Raw genomic sequence first — 26,644 nt, 5'->3', positions numbered from 1 at the left:
AGAGGAAAAGCGTAAGAATTATTTCAGGACTTTCTTCATTTAGACAGGTGTATGATGCATTTAATACTTTTTACTAGCTAGATTCAACAGTATAGTTGTTCTTAGGAACCAAGACATCTGCAGAAATAGCAGAAACCAAGAGGAAATTTTAATCATTTTAATGGCTTTTGTACTTATAAAATTTTCTCAGAAAAGAGCTCATAATACTATTACCTTAATGAGTATTTTAAGTCAGTAGAACAATTACAGTATAACATTCAGATAAAAGTTTTATTTTATATATATATTTATAAAAACCTTTTGCTGTAGCCAATGTAGATCAAATAAAACATTGTTTTATTTAATATTTTAATAGAAGAAATAACATTTCCAAAGGTCAGGATATCAAACCATCAAGAGCTTATTTGTAATTTATGAAGCCTCAGAAAGACTATGAGGTTGTTAAAGCAATTCCAGTGCCCAGCCAGACATAATTTTCCCCTTTTCTGCTAGAAATGTAGAGGAGTAATAGCAGCATCAAAAATCCATGTCAATCCTGTCCTATTCCTGGAAACCTACTTCCAGTTATTGTAAACTATAACTATATACTAGAGATTTTACTCTGCATTGCAGGAGTGAACACTGACATGAATGAGCCTCAGATAACATTCCGTTTGCCTGGTTCCTATCTACCTATTCTGTGCAGGGCAGCATATCCTATAGCATCTTTTTAAAATAACACTCACAAACAGAACTGAAAAGTGAAATACAATCCAGCAATCACACTCTGGTATTTTTCAAAGTGAGTTGAAAACCTACACCCACACAAAACTTTCACATGGACACGTATAGCTGCTTTATTTATAATTGCCATAACTTGGAAGCAACCAAGATGTCCTCCAGTAGATGGCTGGATAAGTAGACTGTGGTACAACTAGACAATGAAATATCATTCAATGCCAAAAAGATGTGAGCCATCAGACTATGAAAATACATGAATGACACAAATGCTTATTACTAAGTAAAAGAAGCTGCTCTAAAATGCTACCTACTACTGTACGATTCCAACTATATGACATTTTGGAGAAGACAAAACTATGGAGAGAGTAAAAAGATCAATGGTTGTCAGGGGTTTGGGGAAAGAAAAAGAGAGATGAATAGGCAGAATACAGAAGATTTTTAGGGCAGTGAAACTATTCTGTATGATACTATAACGGTAGACACATGACATTATACATTTGTCAAAAAACAGAGAATGTACAATACCAAGAGAAAACCCTAATGTAAACTGTGTGCTTTGAGAGATAATGATGTGCCAAAGCAGGTTCCCTAATTGTAACAAATTCTCACTATGGCTAGGGATGATGATAATGGAGGAAACTGTGCATGGCGGGGGTAGGGGGTAGGTGAGACATCTCTGTATTTTCTATTTCACTTTGCTGTGAACCTCAAACTGCTCTAAAAAATAAAGTATATTTTTTTAATGTGAAACAAATCCCTGAGACCACTTCAGGTGCATTTCTTCTCATAATTTCTTCTCCATCACACAGTAATCTACTAAAGTTTATTTCTTGACTTTCGGCCCCTATCACAACATCTTTAGAGTTGACTGCATGTCTGACCATTTTGACTGCATTCACCTTTATGGTCACATAAGTTCACTTCTATACCAATCAGCAATAGAGCCACAAATACCAGATCAACAGCCAAGATTTCTGGTTCCCCGGGCCCACGACTCATTATCTTGTTATTTTTATGTCAAACAGAAGCTAGAAAAGAACTTTATAGAAGTTATGAATGATTTAAACGATTTTTAATTACTTTTTTTTGAAATAAAACAAAACTACTTCTGGTATTTCTCTAAAAATATAATTTACCACATTTCCCCACCCCCACCCCATGGTTTTTTCCTCCTTTTTTGTAAATTTCAATTTCATGAAACTAAGTGTAGTTAAATGTAATTAACATGAAAAATATTGAAAAAGTGGCTGCCATTTCGGCCAGAGTACACTATACTCAGAAGTTTGTGGAGAGCTTCAGCTTTTAGTAAAACTGAACACATTTTGGGTTAGCTACAAAGAGAAAAGGTAAGGGATGAAGTAGGATTTCTGAGTGTTGGCTTCATGCACAAGTCAAATGGAGATAAGGAACTTCATTGCCAGCGTTCGATTGGGTCACAAAAAGACACATTTGAAGGAAGGAAGAATTATAAAAAAATTACTGCGTAGCTAGTAGAGATCTTTCAACCAGACCTCTCACCCTTGGAGGAGGGGGAAAGGAGACGTTAAGCACCACAGTAGGAAGATATTAATAAATAAAACTAAACTAAAAAGAGCAGTATCTGAGAGAAAAAAATGACAAAGAATGATAGACCCTCTAACAGCAGATTCAGAGCTAAAATACTTCCAGCCTAGGGCAGCTGCCCCCCGATGGAAAGAGATCGCCAGTGTGCTTCCTGCCTGGGCTGGGCAGCTCAGGATTCAGGTACAGCTCAGCTCACCATCACATCTCAGGCGGTGCTGAGGAAATAAGAGAAACACCATGTTTGTAAGGTTAAATAGACTTACAGAGAAAAAGAAATTAGGAATATAGGCAATTCTATGGAAACCAGAAATAGAAGTGCGAGTAGAAATATTGGTAAGAACTTTTAGATGCCGTAAGTATTCAAAAGTTCTTACCAATATTTCACTGTTTGGCCTTTTGAAGACATCTATGGTGAAAAAAAATTCCATATATGGGTATCTACCCAGAGGAAAAGAAGTCACTATACAAAAAAGATACTTACACACACGTTTATAGCAGCATGATTTGCAATTGCAAAAATATGGAAGCAGCCCAAATGCCCATCAGTCAACAAGTGGATAAAGAAACTATGATATGTAATGGAATACTACTCAGCCATAAAAAGAAACAAAATAATGGCATTCACAGCAACCTGTATGGAGTTGGAGACTCTTATTCTAAGTGAAATAACTCAGCAATGGAAAGCCAAACATCATATGTTCTCACTCATATGTGGGAGCTAAGCCATGAGGGTGCAAAGGCATAAGAATGATACATTGGACTTTGGGGACTCGGAGGTAAGGGTAGGGACTGGGGAGGGATAAAAGACTACACATTGGGTACAGTGTACACTGCTCGGATCATGGGTGCACCAAAATCTCAGAAATCACCACTAAAGAACTTATTCATGTAACCAAACACCACCTGTTTCCCAAAAACCTATGGAAATAAAAAAGAATAAAATTTTAAAAATTCTATACATGGGGATTAAGTAGGAGAAAATAAATAGCTCCCAGTCTCTGTGCTGGTCAGATTTGGAAAACAGGTACAAGTTAAAGCCAATGGGGTGCTGTTGTTTGAAGCAAGGAAAGTGTGAAAGCTTTTTTTAAATTAGATAAATATTTATTCTGTAATAGTATGTAATAGTATGAGCCAGGAACTGTATTGTTAATCTCATTTGACAGAACTACTTTGTAACATATATATTATTTTTTAAATTTTTATTTTATTCTGGTAAGAACACTTCATATAAGATCCACCCTCAAGTTCTTAAGGGTACAATGCAGTGTTAATTATAGGTACAATGTTGTACAGAAGAGCTATAGAATGTATTCATCTTATTTAAATGAAACTTTATGCAGTCATTAGAAACATACCATTTCCTCATTCCCCAGCCCCTGACAACCACATTCCACTCTTTGATTCTAGGAACTTGACTATTTTAGATACTTTCTATAAGTAAAATCATGCAGTATTTGTCTTTTCATGACTGGTGTATTTTACTTAACATAAGAGGATGAACCTCAAGATTCATCCATGTTGTCACATATAACAAAATTTCCTTCCTTTTTAAGGCTGTATAATATTCATTTGTGTGTATATACCATATCTTCTTTACCCACTCATGGGTCAATGAGCATTTAAGTTGTTTCTACATCTTGAATATTGTGAATAGTGCTACATTGAACATAGGAGTGTGGATTATATTACGCTGATGCTGATTACGTTTTTGTTTTTTGGATAAATACCCAGAGTAAGATTGCTGGATCATATAGTAATTCTACTTTTAATTTTTTGAGGACTCTCCATACTGTTTTCCATAGCAATTGCACCACTTTGCATTTCCACTAAATGTTGTACAAGGGTTCCAATGTATTCACATCCTCACCAACACTAGTCATGTTTTCTGTTTCTTCAGTAATAGCCAACCTGACAGGTGTGAAGTGATATCTCACTGTGGTTTTGATTTGCATTTCCCTGACGATTAGTGATGTTGAGCATTTTTTCATATGTCTGTTGGCCGCTTGTATGTCTTCTTTGGACAAATGGCTCTTCAGGTCTTTAGCCCATCAACAGAGTGATGAGGCAACCTACGGAATGAGAAATGTTTGCAAACATATATTTGACAAACATTAATCTCCAAGATATATAATGAACTCCTGCAACTAAAGAGCAAAAAGCCCAATAACCCAATTAAAGATGTGCAGTTCCTTTTTAGAATTTAGGTCCAAAATGTTAATGGTTGCTTTCTTGAAATTTTATTGGTAGAGTGGAAGAATCAGAGCAAGATTAAAGTGCTCATCCTCAGAGGACTGGATGGTATTTTCCTCACCAGCTAAAGCCTCCTCATTCACCTCCTCATCTCTGAGCAATGCCTTGGGATTTATTTCTTGAATTAATTCAGATGTGGGGTGTAAATGTATACATCTATATGACATTTTTCTGTATCATAAAATCTAAATTTATTAATAAACAGGAAAAGCTTTGTATTTTGTATTATACGGATATAAGTTAAATACTAGAGAAAATAAATAATTTTCCACATTTTAATTTTTAAGATTGCATATTGTCTTCAGAATGAGGACTATCACAATTCTGGTATTACTAGTCCCACATCAATTCTATTTGCCTTATCAAATTGGGGTAGTCTAAAACTGAATAAATGACATGAATAAGTTATGCCTCATGTCTGACTGTTTAATAGAAACATATGTTCTTTGTACTTTTTCAGTTCTCTCTCTTGTTTGCCCATAATTTTAATAAGCGCACTCACTTTATTGTCAAGATTAATAATGTGATATAATCACTGGGAAATTGCAAGACTGCCCTCCCTGCAACACAATCCCCAGCAATGAAACTTCTACATGTTACATGTCAAACGTCACCACTTGTCCAAAAAGTGGAGCCGATCAGGTCAGAAAGTATGTCAACACAGGAGGATTTTAAATTAAAAATTTCCTGATTTTACCCTGTGCTACTCTCTAAACCCTGGAATTTGGAAGGACTGATACTTTCATGAGTGGGCTATAATACCAGCTCTGCTTGAAAATGTATTTTCCAAATGTTGAGGATTTTTGCCATCCATTTGTGAAGTTACTAAAGGAACTGGCTCCTAAGAGAAAGGACTGGATTTGATACGAAGTATGTACAAAATAATAAATGGAGTCACTAAATAAATATTCAAATAAGTTATAGACTCCTAGTCAAAATGATATTTTGATGAACATCAACAAACCTCATCTGTTCCAAACACATGTTAATGGTAGACAAAATTATATATATATATATATATAACTATTATTTATATATAACTATTATATATATTTCTATATAACTATTATATATATTTCTATATATACAACTATTATATATATTTGTATATATAACTATTATATATATAACTATTATATATATGTATATATAACTATTATATATAGGTATATATATATAATAATATATACCAATAAATGTGTGTGTGTGTGTGTGTGTGTATATATATATATACACACACACACACACACACAAAAAGACACACACTAGCTTGTAAACCTCTCTGTGGATGGGAGCTAGCAAGAAGCCCAGTGGAGAGCAAGACTGAAGGCACAGGCTGGCTGGGTTCCAGCAGAGAGAAAGGCAATGGGGCCAGGAGCTGGATTCCTACAGGGCATCAGAGGGCAGAGGGCAGAATGGCTCACCTGAGATGGGGGAAAAGAACTCAACATCCCCACCCATGAAACGAAGCTAGAAAAACAACAGCTGCTGGTTGGGACTGGGACGTCTGTAAGGAAGTGTGCCTGAGGAGGGTAGAGGACAGAGCCACTGCCTCAGACCTAGCTGCTGAGCCATGCTACCTGCTGCTTGGTAACCACATCTGTGATGTCTCCACATGCCACCCAGGAGGAGCATCAGAGAAACATTTGAATGCTGAGTTCTGAATCTGGGGCCTGGAGGGCTGGAAAAAAAGGCATGTCACCAGTCAGAACATCCCACTAGTTGGGAAGAATGAGAGGGAGGAGAAAGGGAGAGAGGGAAAAAAAAACACAAATAATTTTCCATTCAAAACCAGTTTGGAAACCAAAATATCAAAATACATAATGAAGAATTCTAATGATAAAAAGTCAACCAATTTAATCAACATAATTAAAAGACAAATTCGCCCAGAAAAAATTAATATTCGCAGTCTAGAAAAGACTTTAACATACTTAGGAGACTTAAAGAGACAAATGAATGATTAGCATTAATTTAAAAGAAAAATAAATGATGGAGTAAAAAATAGGGAGGAAAATGACAGAAAATAGGTATTTTTAAAATGAAAAAAAAGATATTTCAGACAATAAAGATTTCAGAAATAAAGAATTAAAATGACAAACTAAATTCTAGACTGCATAGAGATAAAGAATTTATGAGCTGAATAATGGTACAGTACTAAAGGATTTGCCCAGAATATGACTCGAATAGACAGAAATATTACATTTTTAGGAATTTTGTAGGTATATTAAATGATAATTTTCCAAAACAAAAGAGAAACATTAGTTGCAAGATCAGAATGTATTTAGTATGTTAAGAAAAATAAATAAGTACAAATCAACTCCAAAAAATATTGCAGTGCGACTATAAAAAAAAGAGAAAAAGCAAAATCTAAAATACTATAAAAGAAAAGATAAACTACAAAGTAGGGAAAACCCAGCTTCCTATCAGTAATAATAGAGGTCAGAAGACAATGGAATAGTATCTTCAAAGCTAACAGAAAGTAATTGTCAGCCTAGAATTTTATATCTAAACCTTATTCAAAAATGAATCCCAAATAAGCAATTTGAAACATAAATAGAGAACTACTACCTATAGGTCCTCAGTATTAAAAAATATTCCAAAGAAAGGTTAATCCAGAGTAAGAAATGGGAGTTAAGAAACAAGAGTGCTCCCAGCTATTTGAGAGGCTGAGACAAGAGGCTCACTTGAACTGAGGAGTTTGAGTCCAGCAAAACCCTTTGATAGCAAGACCAGTCGAAGAACTGGAAGAGAGAGAGAGAGACAGAGAGAGAGAGAGAGGAAGGAAAGAGAAGAAAAGAAAGAAAGAAAGAGAAAAGAAAGAGAAAAAGAAAGAAAAGAAAGACAGGAGGAAGGGAGGGAGGGAAGGAAGGAAGGAAGGAGAGGGAGGGAGGGAGGAAAGAGGAAGGAAGGAAAGAAAGAGAAAGAAAGAAAGGAAGGAAGGAAGAAAGAAGGGAGGGAAGGAAGGAGAAAGAAGGGAGGGAGGGAGGCAGGGAGGGAGGAAGGAAGGAAGGAGGAGGGAAGGAAGGAAGGGAGGGAGGGAGGGAAGGAAGGAAGGGAAGGAAGGAAAAGAAACAGAGTGAGAGAGAGAAATAAAAGAGAGTAAGAGAGAAAAGAAACAGGTTGGGTGTGATGACTCATGCCTCTAATAATCCTAACACTTTGGAAAGCTGAGCCAGGAGGATTGCTAGAGGCTAGGAGTTTGAGACCAGCTTGGGTCTCAAACATAGTGAGACCCCCCCATCTCTAAAAAAATAAAAAATTAGCTGAGTGTGGTGGTGTGCACCTGTGGTCCTAGCTACTAGGGAGGCTGAGGTGGGAGGATCACTTAAGCCCTGGAAGTTGAGGCTGCAGTGAGCCATGATTGTACGAGTGAGAGAGTGAGATCCAGTCTCCAAAACAAAAACAAAAACAAAAAAAAAACAGAAAGAAAGAAACAAATAAAGGTGCACAAATCTTAAAAACATATGCTAGTAAGAAGTATTTGTTTATTCATTCATTCATTCATTCATTTATTATTTAGTGATATTCTCTAAGAAGTGATCATAATATTTCTTTATGATTCTTAATTAAAAATAAAGTTGGGGACTGAGATCATCATGATAGACAGGAGATAGGACTAGATTGCCGCTCTGACTCAGATGGACAGAGCAGTTTGCAAAGGCTTGCATTGTGAATTTTAGCTCCAGATCGACTGCAAGAACAAACCAGCAATCCCGAGAGGACCCACAGACCCTCTGAAGGAAGTGGACTGCTCCTGCAGGACCCAGGAGACATCCCAGATACTGTTAGTGCCCCAACTGTGGAAGTGGGAAAAGAAGAGCCTCCTCTCCCGAACACTCACCCCCACTGGAGAAACTGAAGGTCTGTTTGCCAGAGAAGTTTCCTACCTTAACCGGAGCTGAGTCAATTTAGAGAGCCAAGCAAAATACAGGGATAGAGGAAGCAGCAGAAAGACCCTGGGAGCTCAGCTGGGTCCCCAAGCAGGCCATTCCTGCCTGGAACCACAGGCATCCAATGGGAGGGCAGCCAGAGGAGCAGGGCAGAGGGGAAAGCATCACAGGGAAAAGGAAATTTCCAGTTGAACTTTGTAATAATTTGAATGGGGTGAGAAGCCTCTTGACCAGAACTCCAGGGAGGGTGTGAATCTGGTGTGCAGACTCCACAGGCAGGGGAAGAACCAAACCCTTTTCTTTCACAGCTGGGAGGCGGGTAGCCTGGGGCAAGTTCTCAAGCCCAGCTAGCCCACTGCCTGGAAACAAACTCAGGGCTGTTGGTGGGGGCACAGTGGGAGTGAGACCAGCCCTTTGGATTGTGTGGGAGCTCAGTGAGGCCAGTGACTGCCAGCTTTCCCCTACTTCTCTGACAACCTGCATGACTCAGCAGAGGCGGCCATAATCCTCCTAGGTACACAACTCCAGTGACCTGGGAATCTCACTCCCATCCCCACAGCAACTGCATCAAGACCCACCCAAGGAGAGCCTGAGCTCAGAAACACCTAGCCCTGCCCCCACTTGATGGTCCTTCCCTATCCACCCTGGTAGCTGAAGACAAAGGTCATATAATCTTGGGTCCTCTTGGGATTGCTGGTTTGTTCTTGCAGTCTCCCCGCTTTTCCTATTGATGTGGTTTCCTATGAGCCAAACTGCAACGATTGTTGTTGTCTCTCTTCTGGGTCTAACCACTCAGCAAGTCTACACATTTCCAGGCTGGTACTGGGGGTTGTCTGCTCAGAGACCTGTGATGTGAACCATCTATGGGTCTCTCAGGAGGTTAGTTATTAAGCTAATCGGGGAGGCACCAGAGAAAGGCAAAGCCCAATGCAAGGAAATCCAAAAAACAATACCAGAAGTGAACGGAGAAATATTCAAGGAAATAGAGAGCTTAAAGAAAAAACAATCAAAAATTCAAGAAACACTGGACCCAATTAGAGAAATGCAAAATGCTCTGGAAAGTCTCAGCGATAGGCTTGAACAAGTAGAAGAAAGAAATTCAGAGAACAAAGACAAGATCTCTGAATTAACCCAATCCAACAAAGACAAAGAAAAAAGAATAAGAATATATGAACAAAGCCTCCAAGAAGTCTGGGATAATGTTAAACAACCAAACTTAAGAATAATCAGTGTTCCTGAGGAAGAAGACAGTTCTAAAAGCTTGGAAAACATATTTGGGAGAATAATTGAGGAAAATTTCCCTGGTCTTACTACAGACCTAGACATACAAATACAAGAAGCACAGAGAACACCTGGAAAATTCATCGCAAAAAGATTATCGCCTAGGCACGCTGTCATCAGGTTATCCAAAGTTAAGGTGAAGGAAAGAATCTTAAGAGCTGTGAGACAGAAGTACCAGGTAAACTATAAAGGGAAACCTATGAGATTAACAGCAGATTTCTCAGCAGAAACCCTACAAGAAAGAAGGGATTGGGGACCTATCTTCAGCCTCCTCAAACAATTATCAGCCAAGAATTTTGTATCCAGTGAAACTAAGCATCATATATGAAGGAAAGATAAAGTCTTTTGCAGACAAACAAATGCTGAGAGAATTCAACAGTACCAAGCCACCACTACAAGAACTGCTAAAAGGAGCTCTAAATCTTGAAACAAATCCTGGAAAATTATCAAAACAGAACCTCTTTAAAGCTTAAATCACACAGGACCTATAAAACAAAAATAAAAGTTAAAAAGCAAAAACAAAAACCAACAAACAAAAGTACACAGGCAACAAATAGCATGATGAACGGAATGGTACCTCACATCTCAATACTAACATTGAATGTAAATTGCCTAAATGCTCCACTTAAAAGATACAGAACAGTAGAAGGGATAAGAACTCACCAACCATCTGCTGCCTTCAGGAGACTCAGCTAACATGTAAGGACTCACATAAACTTAAAGTACAGGGGTTGAAAAAGGCATTTCATGCAAATGGACACCAAAAGCAAGCAGGGGTAGGTATTTTTATATCAGACAAAAGAAGCTTTAAAGCAACAGCAGTTAAAAGAGACAAAGAGGGACATTATATAATGGTAAAAGGCCTTGTCCAACAGGGAAATATCACAATTCTAAACATATATGCACCTAACACTGGAGCTCCCAAATTTATAAAACAATTACTAATGGACCTAAGCAATGAGATAGACAGCAACACGATAATAGTGGGGGATCTCAATACTCCACTGACAGCACTAGACAGGTCATCAGGACAGAAAGTCAACAAAGAAATGATGGATTTAAACTACACCTTGGAACAAATGGACTTAACAGATATATACAGAACATTTCATCCAACAACGGCAAAATATACATTCTATTGAATAGCACATGGAACTTTCTCCAAGATAGACCATATGATAGGCCATAAAACAAGCTTCAGTAAATTTAAGAAAATTGAAATTATATCAAGCACTCTCTCAGACCACAGTGGAATAAAACTGGAAATGAACTCTGAAATGAATCTTCAAAACCATGCAAATACACCTAAATTAAATAACCTGCTCCTGAATGAGCATTGGGTCAAAAACAAAATCAAGATGGAAATTTAAAAATTCTTTGAACTGAACAACAATAATGACACAACCTATCAAAACACCTGGGATACAGCAAAGGCGGTGCTAAGCGGAAAGTTCATAGCCCTAAATGCCTACATCAAAAAGACTGAAAGAGCACACACTGACACTCTAAGGTCACACCTCATGGAACTAGAGAAACAAGAACAAATCAAACCCAGAGCAGAATTAAATGAAATTGAAACAAACAAACAAACAATCTTTTTATATATATATTTTTTATATTTATATAAAAATATATATATTTTTAAAAAATATATTTATAAAAATATATATATTTATATATATTTTTAATATATTTATATATATATATTTCATATATCTATCTCATATATATATATGAGATAAATGAACCAAAAAGCTGGTTCTTTGAAAAGATAAAACTGACAGACCATTAGCAAGACTAACCAAGAAGAGAGAAAATTCAAATAACCTCATTAAGAAACGAAACACGAGATATTACAACTGACACCACTGAAACACAAAAGATCATTCAATGCTACTATGAACACCTTTATGCACATAAACTAGAAAACGTAGAAGAGATGGATAAATTTCTGGAAAAATACAACCCTCCTAGCATAAATTAGGAAGAATTGGATACCGTGAACAGACCAACAACAAACAGCAAGATTGAAATTGTAATTTTAAAATTACCAACAAAAAAAATGTCCAGGACCAGACGGATTCACAGCAGAATTCTACAAGACATTCAAAGAATTGGTACCAATCCTTTTGACACTATTCCATAAGATAGAGAAAGAAGGAACCCTCCATAATTTATTCTATGAAGCCAGCATCACCCTAATACCAAAACCAGGAAAGGACATAACCAAAAAAAAAAACTACAGACTGATATCCTTGATGAACATAGACGCTAAAATCCTTAGCAAGATACTAGCTAACTGAATCCAACAACATATCAAAAAGATAATCCACCATGATCAAGTGGGTTTCATACCAGGGATACAGGGAGGGTTTAACATATGCAAGTCAAAAAACGTGATACACCACATAAACAGAATTAAAAACAACAAAAATCACATGATCATCTCAATAGATGCAGAAAAAACATTTGACGAAATCCAGCATCGCTTTATGATTAAAACTCTCAGCAAAAGTGGCATACAAGGGACATACCTCAATGTAATAAAAGGTATCTATGACAAACCCATGGCCAAATTTATATTGAATAAGGAAAAGTTGAAAGCATTCCCTCTGAGAACTGGAACAAGGCAAGGATGTCCACTCTCACCACTCCTTTTCGACATAGTACTGGAAGTCCTAGCCAGAGCAATCAGACAAAAGAAAGAAATAAAAGGGATCCAAATTGGTAAAGAGGAAGTCAAACTGTCACTGTTTGCTGACGATATGATCATCTACCTTGAAAACCCTAAAGACTCCTCCAGAAAGCTCATACAACTGATAAAGAAATCAGCAAAGTTTCCAGATACAAGAATAATGTACACAAATCAGTAGTAGTTCTATACACCAACAGCAACCAAGTGGAGAATCAAATCAATAACTCAACCCCTTTTACAATAGCTGCAAAAAAAAAAAAAAAATACTTAGGAATATATCTTAACAAAGGCGTCAAAAGACCTCTACAAGGAAAACTATGGAACCCTGCTGAAAGAAATCAGAGATGACACAAAAAAATGGAAACACATCCCATGCTCATGGATGGGTAGAATCAATATTGTGAAAATGACCATACCGCCAAAAGCAATCTAAAAATTCAATGCAATCCCCATCATAATACCACCATCATTCCTCACAGAATTAGAAAAAAAGCAATTCTGAAATTCATATGGAATCAAAAAAGAGCCCGCAGAGCCAAAGCAAAACTAAACAAAAAGAACAAACCTGGAGGCATCACACTATCTGATTTCAAACTATACTATAAGGCCATAGTCACCAAAACAGCATGGTACTGGTATAAAAATAGGCACATAGACCAATGGAACAGAATAGAGAACTCAGAAATAAACTCAAATATTTACAGCCAATTGACCTTGGACAAAGCAAACAAAAACATGAAGGGAAAGTACACCCTTTTCAACAGATGGTGCTGAGATAATTGGCTAGCCACATGCAGGAAAATGAAACTGGATCCTCACCTTTCACCTTATACAAAAATCAACTCAAGATGGATTAAGGATTTAAATCTAAGACCTGAAACTAAAAATTCTAGAAGATAACATTGGAAAAACCTTGAAGACATTGGCTTAGGCAAGGATTTCATGATCAAGAACCCAAAAGCAAATGCAATAAAAACAAAGATAAATAGTTGGGACTTAATGAAACTAAAGACTTTTGCAAGGCAAAAGAAACAGCAGAGTAAACAGAGAATCCACAGAGTGGGAGAAAATCTTCGCAATCTATACATCTGACAAAGGACTAATAATCAGAATCTACAACGAACTCAAATCAGTAAGAAAAAAAACAAACAATCCCATCAAAAAGTGGGCTAAGGACGTGAATAGACAATTCTCAAGAGAAGATATACAAATGGCCAACAAACATATGACAAAATGCTCAACATCACTAATGATCAGAGAAATGCAAATCAAAACTACAATGCGATACCACCTTACTCCTGCAAGAATGGCCATAATCAAAAAAATAAAAAAATGGTAGATGTTGGCATGGATGCAGTGATCAGGGAACACTTCTATACTGCTGGTGGGAATGTAAACTAATACAGCTGCTATAAAAACTGTGGAGATTCCTTAAAGAACTAAAAGTAGAACTATCATTTGATCCAGCAATCCCACTACTGGGTATCTACCCAGAAGAAAAGAAGTCAATATACGAAAAAGATAATGTGCATGCATGTTTATAGCAGCACAATTCACAATTGCAAAATCATGGAACCAACCCAAATGCCCATCAATCAATGAGTGGATAAAGAAACTGTGGTGTGTGTGTGTATGTGTGTGTCTGTGTGTGTGTGTATACATATACACACATATATACATATACATATGTGTATATATACACACATATATACATATACATATGTGTATATATACACATATATAAATATATGATGGAATACTACTCAGCCATGAAAAGGAATGAATTGACAGCATTTGCAGTGACATGGAGGAGATTGGAGACTATTACTCTAAGTGAAGTAACTCAGGAATGGGAAGCCAAACATTGTATGTTCTCACTAATAAGTGGGAGCTAAGCCATAAGGGTGCCAAGCATAAGAAAGATACAATGGACTCTGGGGACTTGGGAGGAAGAGTGGGAGGCAGAGGGGTAAAAGACTACAAATATGGTGCAGTGTATACTGTTCAGGTGATGGATGCACCAAAATCTCACAAATCACCACTAAAGAACTTACTCATGTAACCAAATACCATCTGTACTCCAATAACTTATGGAAAAATAAAAAAAATAAAATTTAAAAAGCACCACAGAACTAAACTTCAAAAAAATTAATAAATAAAATAAAGTTGGAAATAGCAATGTAAAATGGAAGTTGTTTATTAGACAGCGAAAAAAAAAAAGCCAAGATCCTTTTTTGTGTTTGATAGGTGATTGAATAATTTTGGAATTTTTAGAAGATTTTATAACTAAGTATATGTACTAAAAATTAAAGGTAAATAATAAAATAAAAGTAAAATTTAATACAGATACAAAGAATGGCTTTAAATTATTACAAGATGGGGGAAAAGAAAATATATAACCTTTATCAAACTAATGCAAGTCAGAAAAAGGAGGGAAGAAAAGGAAGAAAAAAGGAAAAATAAATGAGACAAATCCAAATATATCAGAATAAATGTAAACAAAGTAAATCCATGATCAGATTATCAGATTGCATTAAATATTCAAAACCCAATTTAAAACAGAATCAGAAAGACAAAAAATAAAAGAATAGAAAAAAATTATGCAGCAAATCCTAATTAAACCTAATTAACTATAACTATTGGCTAACTATAATATATTTTCTAACTATATTATAAAATCATTGAAGTATTATTTGAAGTCAGACAAATTAATAAACAAGTAATATTACAGCAAAACAAGTAATATTACATTACTAGAAAAAACAATATTATATACTTCATGCATTTAACAACTTGACTTTTAAAAACATTAAAAAAACTAATAGAATTGTTTAAAAAATCACAAAAAAATCATTGTTTGGATAGTTTATTTGTCTCAGAAACAGAAAAAAATTTATTAAAAAATAAGAGGATTTGCAGAACAAAATCATAAACCTGATAATATATGATTTCTCTGTGATAAAAATGTATAATTTATATTTAAATATTCTGAATTAATCATTAAAATATGCGTTAGTATCAAGCCCATATGGAACATTTATAAAATATTTGACCCACATAGTGGGTCTTAAATTAAAACATAAATTTTTTTAAAAAACCAGTATCACAAAGGTCATATTCTCAGAAAAAGAAACACAAAATAGAATTCAACAATAAATAAGGTTCGTCATTTACTTGGAAATTTAGACAGGGATGTTTAAATAACTCATTAGCTTAAAAAAACACAATAAAAATTATAAAACACACTTGAAATAAATAAAACCAAACAATGAAAGTAACATGAAAATGATAAAAGTAACATATTTAAAACTGTAGAATGTAGCAAAAGTAATACCTAGTATTAAATTTGTGGTCTTAAAAGTGTTCATTTAAAAACAAAAAGAAAAACTGAGGGAAAAGAGTAGTAAAATGTTTAGGTCAAAAGCTAAAAAAAGAGTACGGGAAAATGTAAACCTTAGGAACAAATGGTAAATACAGTGTTAGAGTCAAAATGAATTTAATAGATCACTAATAAGCAACAGATCACCCAGAAAACCCTTAGTTGCCTTATGTAAACTTGTTATCAATCGAGAAGAAAGTTTACATCAATCTCACACATAAACAGAAATGCAAAAAAATACAAAATAAAATGTTAGCCCAACAACATCAGCAGCAGAAGTATACAATATACAGTACTGTACACACATCTAGACACACACATATTTTGGTGTAAGAAAGTTGGTTTTAAAATCAGCGGGCTGAATCTGAGTTCCAGACTATCCACTTACTAGATAAGTATCCTTGAGTTTAGTGTTTAAGGTATCTGTTCTGTTCATGTAATTTTAATAGAAAACATTGACATAGCTACACTCCAGATGGTTCTGAATTTACTCAAAATTATGAAAATCAAACATTTCTCTTTTTTTGAGAAAGGGTCTTGCTCTTTTGCCCAGGTTGGAGCGCAGTGGTGCTATCTTGGCTTACTGCAGCCTTGACCTCCCAGGCTCAAGTGATCCTCCCACTTCAGCTTTCCGAGTAGCTGGGACTAGAGGTGCACACCACCATGCCTGGCAAATTCTCTTTTTTTTGGGCAGGGAGACTTTTTTTTTTTTTTTTTTTTTTTTTTTTTTGTAGAGATGGGGTTTCACTGTGTTGCCCAGACTGGTCTCAAACTCCTGTACTCAAATGATCGGCCTCCCAAAGTGTTGGGATTACAAGCGTGAGCCACCACGCCCTGCAAAAATCAAACTTTTAATGGAATATTTTAGTGGACAAAACATCACCTTTGAAGCTATTTTTTTGTCCCAAAAAGTGTTAATGCTGTAGTATTTTTGTTGAGTAAAAGTAAATATTAACTAAAATAATTTTAAAGTATAAACATATTCCAAGGTTGGCAACTGAATGCTGTTTTGATTTTGTTTTGTTAAAAACAATGTTTTTGTGGTGGTGGTTTTCTTCGTGTAAGTTAAACATTAAAAAAATACTGCTTATCATGACTTTACTTTTTTACTGATACATAATTGTTCATGTTTGTGGGGTACAAGTGATATTTTGATACATGCATACAATGTGTAATGATCAAATGAGCATAATTTGATATCCATCACCTCAAATATTAATCAATCATTGCTTTGTGTTGGGAACATTCCAAATCCACTCTTCTAGCTATTTTGAAATATATAATAAATTATTGTTAACTACTGTCACCCTACTGTGCTATCAAACACTAAAACTTATTCCTTCTATCAAACTGTATTTTTGCACCCATTAACCAACCTCTCTTCATTCTCTCTTCCCCCTACCCTTCTCAACCTCTGGTAACCATTATTCTACTCTCTACCTTCATGAGATCAACATTTTTAGCTCCCACATCTAAATGAGAACATGTGATAATTTATCTTTCTGTTCTTGACTTATTTCACGTAACAGAATGTCCCCCAGTTCCATCTGTGTTGCTGCAAATGATAGAATTTTTTATGGCTGAATAATATTCCATTGTGTATATATATCACATTTGCTTATCCATTCATCTGCTGATGGACACTTAAGAAGGTTCTATATCTTAGCTATTGTGAATTGTGCTGCAAGAAACATGTGAGTACAGATATCTCTTCAGTATACTGATTTCCTTTCTTTTGACACTGTACCACGCAATAGGATTGCTGGATCATACAGTAGCTCTATTTTTAGTTTTTTGAGAAACCTTCACCCTGTTTTCCATAGTGGCTGTACTAAGTCACATTCCTACAGTGTAGTAACATTCCCATTTCTCCAAACCCTCATCAGAATTTTTTTTGTCTTTTTTATAGTGGCCATTTTAACTAGGATGAGATGATATCTCACTGTGGTTTTACTTTGCGTTTTCCTGATAATTATTGAAGTCGTGCATTTTTCATATACCTGTTGGCATTTGAATGTCTTCTTTTGAAAAATGTCTATTCATACTTTTGTCCATTTTTTTAAAAATTCTGATTATTTGTGTTTTGGCTATTAAGTTGTTTGAGTTCCTTATACATTCTGGTTATTAATCTCCTGTCAGATAGACAGTTTGCAAATATTTTCTCCCATTCTGTCAGTTGTCTGTCCATTCTGTTTACTGTTTCCTTTGTTGTATAAAAACTTTTTAGCTTGAGGCAATCCCATTTGTCAATTCTTGCTTTTGTTGCCTGTGCTTTTGAGGTCCCACCCAGAAAGTCTTTTCCCAGACCAATGTCCTGAAGCATTTCCCCAGTGTTTTCTTCTAGGTTTTTTATAGTTTTGGGTTTTGCACTTAAATCTTTAATCCATTTTTATTTGATTTTTATATGGTAAGAGATAGGGGTCTAGTTTCATTCTTCTGCTTATGGATATTTAGTTTTCCCAGAACCATCTATTGAAGGGATTGTCCTTATCCCAATAAAATTTCATGGTGCCCTTGTCAAAAATGAGTTGGCTATAAATGTGTAGATTTATTTCTGGGTTCTCTATTCTGTTCCATTAATCTATGTGTCTGTTTTTATGCCAGCACCATGCTGTTTTGGTTACTATAGCTTTGTAGTATGTTTTGAAGTCTGGTAATGTGATCCCTCTACCTTTGTTCTTTGTGCTCAGGATACTTTGGCTATTTGGGGTCTTTTGTGATTCCATACAAACTTTATGATTGTTTTTTTCTATTCCTTTGAAGATTGTCTTTGGTGTTTTGATGAAGATTGCATTGAATCTGGAGATCATTTGGGGTAGTATGGACATTTTACACAATATTATTTCTTCCAATACATTAGCATAGGATATCTTTCCATTTTTTTGTGTGTCTTCTTCAATTTCTTTCATCAGTGTTTTATAGTTTAATTGCAGAGATCTTTCACTTCTTTGGTTAAATTTATTCCTAAGTATTTTAAGTTTTTTGTAGCTACTGTAAATAAGACTGCTTTCTTACTTTCTTTTTCAGATTATTTGCTGTTGCTGCATAAGAATGCTACTGGTGTATAGAAATGTTGCTGATTTTTGCATGTTGATTTTGTACCCTGCAATTTTACCGAATTTTTTTATCAGTTCTGACAGGTTTTTGCTTAAGTCTTTAGGTTTTTCTAAATATTGGATTAGTCTTGACATTTCTGATTGTGAACTGCTTCTTGGTACCCTGAGGGGTCAGAATCAAGCACAGCGTAGAAATTCACAAACTCCACCCACTGCATCCAAATGTTACTTATGCAGCGATATACAGTGTCTGCTCTCACGTGGTCTGAGTCCTCCACCAAGGTCTTGATCCTGTAACTCATGAAGGCAATTAAGGTAGAGTCATTATCAGGACAATCCAGCCCTCAAAATGAAACCATCTCCCTTATCTCATCAATGCCATGATGCTGGAAGAGACCTTAAAGATTATAATCAACCCTCTTGGATATTTGAAAGCCACAAATTTAGTGGTTCAGGTACCAGAGAAAATTAGAATTAATGAACATGTCCATAAAAACATATCAATTTCCAGCCAGCTGCCAGAAGTTGGCATGCTGGCACTGTGCCTGCAGCCCACCCCTGCAAAGTGTCCCTTCACCTGCCAGTGGAAAATCCAACACTTACAGTTACCAAAACAAAAGTACTGTAACTTGCCTTTTAAGGCAAATTTTTACAGGTATAATGTATTCTATTAAAACATCGCCACCTTAGAACACCTGGAGACTCTGTAGAAAGTTGGCAATAGTTTTGTAAGGAATCTAAGAGTTACAGTTCTGGGATTTCCTCCTATCTTCTCCTTTGGTCTATTTCCCATCCACCAAAATAGACCTTGTACTTTACATATTTATTTGTGTAAGACGATCAGACCATTTCTTACACACCTGAATACACATGGGGGTGGAGAGAAGGCAAGAATTTCTCCTTCAGAGCAAAAGATGGCATCCTCTCTTGCCATGAGATATGCTGAACTCAAATTTCTTCTTGGAACAACAATAGTAATTAATGTGGATCTGATTATCCCAACTAATGATGAAAGTCAGCTTTGTCGCTATTATATAGAATTTATTTAAGGATCAACATTATTTTATTACAGACCATACGTAAAAGGACAAGTATAATAAAATCTGTAAGATCATATAAGGAAAAAATCATATTCCTCTCTACACAATTTGCTTTGTCTTCAATATCTTTGTTTTTTTTTTCAATCTTCCTCAGAAGGACTACTGATTGAATTAAACCCAAACATTAGAAAACAACACCATAGTAATTGTTAATACTGAAGTTGAAATATCCTAAGAGAAAACAACCTTTGGGTTTTCAGTATTTTCTTACTGTTTTTGTGGTGGTGGAGGTGGTGATGGTGTAAGTATTTTTAGTTGACTGGAGAGAAAGGAGAGATAAAAGGAAAAACATTCTTGGGTTTTAAAAAATTAATATTATCAATGTAATTATGGTAAAGACCATATTTTGAGAGAGGTTTCTAAGCAATTGAATATATATTATATATTATATATTTGTTACATGTTATATATTATATATATATAGTTTGGTATTTTAGGCTTTTATCTGATCAAATGATGCTTCTTTTGGAAAGATAAAATTGAACCATATATTTATAAATATATATTTCTATTATATATATTTATATATTTATAACCATATATATATATATATATGGTTCAATTTTATCTTTCCAAAAGAAATATCATTTGATCAGGTAAAAGGCTAAAATACCAAATTGGGAAGCAGAAATTTCAGCTGCCTATCTGGCCACCAAGGTGTACATTTTTAAATGCCACAGGGGTGCAGCTTCTTTGTAAAATCTAGCTCCCAACCACCTATGAAACATCTTTGGATGTATTAGAGAAATATTTTAAAGGGAGAGATGCAGAAACCAAAGAGCTCAAAAGAATCAGTGCTGCAGCCCCAGCCCTGAGACGTTTCCTAGGTGCAGTTCATTCCTAGGTCTCAGGAGGGCTCCAGAGAGAATTTGCATCTCCCCCAACCTCTGGGCCCCCAAGCCCCGCCCGCAGCAAGTCTATGTCAGAGTAAAATGGATTGGTGTGTGTGTGTGTTTGTGTGTGTGTGTGTGTGTGTGTGTGTGTACGTGTGTAGGTAAAGATGAAAAGGTACACTTTAATTACTCTACTGCAATAAGTACAAGAAAGCTTCAAAGAAATACTGAAACATGCTGGCAGACAGCCAAAAATATTTAATGGTTAGCAGGGTGACTGGAGTCTTGCTGCCTTATTCTTAATAATAGTTTAAAGAACTCTGCTCTCCTCCCTGTCACTGAAACCTCTACCCATTTGCACATCATTCCTCTTTCCATCCATAGAACACCAGCCAGCCCTCACCCGATCCCAGGCCCTGCCCTGATGGAGGGGAACTAAGGAAATGCAACTTCAGCTGAGGGGTTCCTTTTTAATTGGTCACGGTCACGCTATTCAAATAGGAAGAAATCTGCAACCCATTAGACCTTTTCCTCCTGCATTAATAGTCAGGGAAAAAATTATATTTTGTAGCCACTTCTATTATTGTTTTCTTTTCTGGTTGGGAAACATTCTCAAAGGGCTGTGCCTGGATAGCAGCATGTAGAGTCAATTAGATGGTGAAAAAAGAAAATAACTAAAGGAGTGAGCAGATTTCTCCTGCAAATAGAATAGGAGAGATAGGAGAGAGAAAATAGGAGAGAGGAAGGTGGCAAGAGAAAAAGGGGACAAGGAATTTGGCGTACGTGGTAACATGAAGTAATTTGCCACAGACTGGTCAGTTCAATAAAATTGCTCTCAAATAACCAACCATGTGTTTTTGAAACATTTCAAATTGATCACAGTAGGTACCCACCATTGTAATCCTTATCGACCTACCCTTGACTTTCATTCCTTCTGGAAAGAAAAGTTGAATCAAATTTCCTGTTCGAAATCACACGGCTGCTCTTGGAACATCTGAGAATTTAAACCTTTTAATATGCAGGTCACAGAAATAGCTACACAATCACGTGCGTTTTCACAGTAGTTTGGACAGAATCAAGTAACCATATTAGATGCAGGGAATATTTAAAATATGTGCTTCTGCCATTGGCAGTTTACCTACTTCACTTCCTCCCAAAAATAATATTTTATGACCTAGCATTTTCAAAACTTGCATAAATTGCAGGATTTTAGAACTGAAAGCAGCCTTATATAGCATTTAATTAAATTTCTTCAATTTCCAGATGAGGATACTAGGCCTGAGGAGATGAGGTGACTTCATCCAAGGTAACAGCTAACTACTAACAGAGTGGGAATTGGGCTATGATCAATTTTTTCTTCTTAAAACACTGGTAATAAAAAAATCGAGAAACATATGTTTGTTTCCACAACTATCTCTATATTCAATTTCCAAATTTAACAGAACTATAACATGCTCTAAATAGCTGAAATTCAATAATAGGTTTTCTATATTTATTTTATATATTAATGTGTTTGTACTTGTACTTATTCACATACTTTTATAACACTAAAAGGCAAATTTATACATGTGACTCAAGTCTCAGTCTTAGAATAAGAAAGGAGATTTAAAGGCAAGATTTTTCCTTGCAGTATATTGTAGGGTATTAAGTAACTTCATGATCTAAGATTCATTCTTTTTCTCCTTTAAATTGTTTTAACACTATCATGACACTTCTAATAACCATTCTTCTGTTTCAAAAATAGAAATAGCCTTTTCTGTAAAGTGTCAGGTAATCGTGAGAGTGGTATTATTTTTTCATGATTATTTACATTTATGACAGTGACATATTATGACTAACAGCAGAGAAGGAACTAAAAAACTTTTAAATATGTCACTTTCATGAATATAGCACTTTATGGTTTCCAAAACATTTTCACTTTCTTAACAAACTGAGAATCCAAGTAAATGGCATTGGCACTTGAATTCTGGTCTTTTAAAAATAATCCTACTCACAGAAATGTGAAGACAGTCAATTTATGAAAAAACTATTTTTAAAGTAACTTACAAACACACACAGTAAGTATCTGTTGTTTTCTGCTCTCTGGCTATCCTTCTTTTTGGTAATAGTACTTTGACTTAGCCCTTCTCTGTTCTTGTGATTCTGGACATCTAAACCCCTTCCCCAACCACCACTACCATCCTCACCCTTATCTCTCACCAACCATATGGAATCATAAGCCACACCCAGCCAAGAAATTCCATCCCCTCTCAACAGGGACTGCTTTGGTGACAGGCACTGAATAAAGTCTTAGCAGTAAGATTGAATCCTGGTGTGCTGCTGGATTTTGTTTGCCAGTATTTTATTGAGGATTTTCGCACTGATGGAATATTGGCCTGAAATTTTTTTTTGTTGTTGTGTCTCTGCCAGGTTTTGGTATCAGGATGATTCTGGCATCATAAAATGAGTTAAGGAAGAGTCCTTCTTTTTCTATTGTTTAGAATAGTTTCAGAAGGAATGGTACCAGCTCCTCTTTGTACCTCTGGTAGAATTCGGCTGTGAATCTGTCTGGTCCTGGGCTTTTTTTGGTTGGTAGGCTATTAATCACTGCCTCAATTTCAGAACTTGTTATTGGTCTATTCAGGGATTCGACTTCTTCCTAGTTTAGACTTGGGAGGGTATATGAGTCCAGGAATTTATCCATTTCTTCTAGATTTTCTAGTTTATTTGCGTAGAGGTGTTTATAGTATTCTCTGACGGTTAGTTCATATTTCTGTGGGATCAGTGGTGATATCCCTTTTTTCATTTTGTATTGTGTCCACTTGATTCTTCTCTTTTTTCTTCTTTATTAAACTGGCTAGCAGTCTATTTTCTTGATCTTTTCAAAAAAAAACAGCTCCTGGATTCATTGATTTTTTTAACTTCTTTTGTGTCTCTATCTCCTTCAGTTCTGCTCTGATCTTAGTTATTTCTTGTCTTCTACTAGCTTTTGAATTTGTTTGCTCTTGCTTCTCTAGTTCTCTTAATTGTAATGTTAGGATGTCGATTTTAGATCTTTCTCACTTTCTCCTGTGGGCATTTAGTGCTACAAATTTTCCTCTAAACACTGATTTAGCTGTGTCCCAGATATTCTGGTATGTTGTGTCTTTGTTCTCATTGGTTTCAAAGAACTTATTTATTTCTGCCTCAGTTTTGTTATTTACCTAGTAGTCATTCAGGAGCAGGTTGTTCAGTTTCCATTTAGTTGTGCAGTTTTGAGTGAGTATCTTGATTCTGAGTTCTAATTTGATAGCAAGGTGGTCAGAGAGAATGTTTGTTATGATTTCCGTTCTTTTGCATTTGCTGAGGAGTGTTTTACTTCTAATTATGTGGTTGATTTTAGAATAAGTGCTATGTGGTGCTGAGAAGAATGTATATTCTGTTGATTTGGGGTGGAGAGTTCTGTAGATGTCTATTAGGTCCACTTGGTCCAGAGCTGAGTTTAAGTCCTGAATATCCTTTTTAATTTTCTGTCTCATTGATCTAATATTGACAGTGGGGTGTTAAAATCTCCCACTATTATTGTGTGGGAGTCTAAGTCTCTTTGTAGGTCTCTAAGAACTTGCTTTATGAATCTCGGTGCTCCTGTATTGGGTGCACATATATTTAGGATAGTAGCTCTTCTTGTTACATTGATCCCTTTATCATTATGTAATGCCCTTCTTTGTCTTTTTTGATCTTTGTTCGTTTAGAGTCTGTTTTATCAGAGACTAGGATTGCAACCCCTGCTTTTCTTTTTCTTTCTTTCCATTTGCTTGGTAAATATTCCTCCATCCCTTTATTTTGAGCCTATGTGTGTCTTTGCACGTGAGATAGGTCTCCTGAATACAACACACCGATGGGTCTTGACTCTTTATCCAATTTGCTGGTCCGTGTCTTTCAATTGGGACATTTAGCCCATACATATTTAAGGTTAATATTATTATATGTGAATTTGATCCTGTCATTATGATGCTAGCTGGTTATTTTGTCCATTAGTTGATGCAGTTTCCTCAGAGTGTCAATGGTCTTTAGAATTTGGTATGTTTTTGCAGCGCCTGGTAGCGGTTTTTCCTTTTCATATTTAGTGCTTCCTTCAGGAGCTCTTGTAAGGTATGCCTGGTGGTCACAAAATCTCTCAGCATTTGCTTGTCTATAAAGGATGTTATTTTTCCTTTGCTTATGAAGCTTAGTTTGGCTGGATATGAAATTCTGGGTTGAAAATTATTTTCTTTAAGAATGTTGAATATGGGTCCCCTCTCTCTTCTGGCTCATAAGGTTTCTGCAGAGAGATCTACTTTAGTCTGATGGGCTTCCCTTTATGGGTAACCCACCCTTTCTCTCTGGCTGCCCTTAACATTTTTTCCTTCATTTCAACCTTGGTGAATCTGATGATTATGTGTCTTGGGGTTGCTCTTCTCAAGGAGTATCTTTGTGGTGTTCTCTGTATTTCCTGAATTTGAATGTTGGCCTGTCTTGCTAGGTTGGGGAAGTTCTCCTGAATAATATTGTGAAGAGTGTTTTCCAACTTGGTTCCATTCTCCCCACCACTTTCAGGTACACCAGTCAAACGCAGGTTTGGTCTTTACAACTTACAAGTGATGTGAAGGACCTCTTCAAGGGGAACTACAAACCACTGCTCAAGGAAATAGGAGAGGACACAAACAAATGGAAAACCATTCCATGCTTATGGATAGGAAGAATCAATATCATGAAAATAGCCATACTGCCCAAAGTAATTTATAGATTCAATGCTATCCTTATCAAGCTACCATTGACTTTCTTCACAGAGTTAGAAAAAACTACTTTAAATTTTATATGGAACCGAAAAAAGAGCCCATATAGCCAAGATAATCCTAAGCAAAAACAACAAAGCAGGAGGCAGCACGATACCTTACCTCAAACTATACTACAGGATAAATTAACCAAAACAGCATGGTACTGGTACCAAAACAGATATAGAGACCAAGGGAACAGAACAGAGGCCTCAAAAATAATGTCACACATCTACAACCATCTGATCTTTGACAAACCTGGCAAAAACAAGCAATGGGGAAAGGGTTCCCTTTTTAATAAATGGTGTTGGGAAAACTGGCTAGCCATATGCAGAAAACTGAAACTGGACCGCTTCCTTATACTTTATACAAAAATTAACTCAAGGTGGATTAAACACTTAAACGTAAGACCTAAAACCATAAAAATCCTAGAAGAAAACCTAGGCAATATCATTCAGGACAGAGGCATGGGCAAAGACTTCGTGACTAAAACACCAAAAGCAATGGCAGCAAAAGCCAAAATTGACAAATGGGATCTAATTAAACTAAGGAGCTTCCACACAGCAAAAGAAACTGTCATCAGAGTGAACAGGCAACCTATAGAAAATTTTTGCAATCTATCCATCTGACAAAGGGCTAATATCCAGAATCTACAAAGAACTTAAACAAATTTGTAAGAATAAAACAATCAAAAAGTGGGCAAAGGACATGCATAGACATTTCTCAAAAGAAGACATTTATGCGGCCAAGAAACATGTGGGAAAAAAGCTCATCATCACTGGTCGTTAGAGAAATGCAAATCAAAACCACAATGAGGTACCATCTCACACCAGTTAGAATTAAAAAGTTAGGAAACAACAGATGCTGGAGAGGATGTGGAGAAATAGGAATGCTTTTACACTGTTGGTGGGAGTGTAAATTAGTTCAACCATTGTGGAAGACAGTGTGGTGATTCCTCAAGGATCTAGAACCAGAAATACCATTTGACCCAGCAATCCCATTATTGAGTATATACCCAAAGGATTATAAATCATTCTACTCTAAAGACACATGAACACGTATGTTTACTGCAGCACTATTCATGAAAGCAAAAACCTGGAGCCAA

At 35.9% G+C, this 26,644-nt stretch overlaps 1 long non-coding RNA gene across 2 annotated transcripts in view, besides 2 other annotated features; it reads right to left on the bottom strand.

The window, feature by feature from the left end:
• Positions 1 to 26,644, bottom strand: part of LOC100506207 (uncharacterized) — a 349,823-nt gene that overhangs the window by 174,086 nt on the left and 149,093 nt on the right. The gene's annotated exons all lie outside the window — the stretch shown is intronic.
• Positions 20,939 to 21,108: an enhancer, noted in NCBI's record as "experimental_96472 CRE fragment used in MPRA reporter constructs". NCBI's record gives its function as "activates a minimal promoter by MPRAs in K562 erythroleukemia cells, with activity observed for the non-introgressed 6:8590570 variant allele {active_cell/tissue: K562}" and the evidence as "EXISTENCE:reporter gene assay evidence [ECO:0000049][PMID:34662402]".
• Positions 21,118 to 21,287: an enhancer, noted in NCBI's record as "experimental_96469 CRE fragment used in MPRA reporter constructs". NCBI's record gives its function as "activates a minimal promoter by MPRAs in K562 erythroleukemia cells, with activity observed for both the introgressed and non-introgressed 6:8590391 variant alleles {active_cell/tissue: K562}" and the evidence as "EXISTENCE:reporter gene assay evidence [ECO:0000049][PMID:34662402]".

Source organism: Homo sapiens, chromosome 6, assembly GCF_000001405.40.
Source record: "Homo sapiens chromosome 6, GRCh38.p14 Primary Assembly".
Classification (NCBI taxonomy): domain Eukaryota; kingdom Metazoa; phylum Chordata; class Mammalia; order Primates; family Hominidae; genus Homo; species Homo sapiens.
The sequence above is the reverse complement of the archived record's forward strand: the minus strand, read 5'-3'. Positions and strand labels throughout refer to the sequence as shown.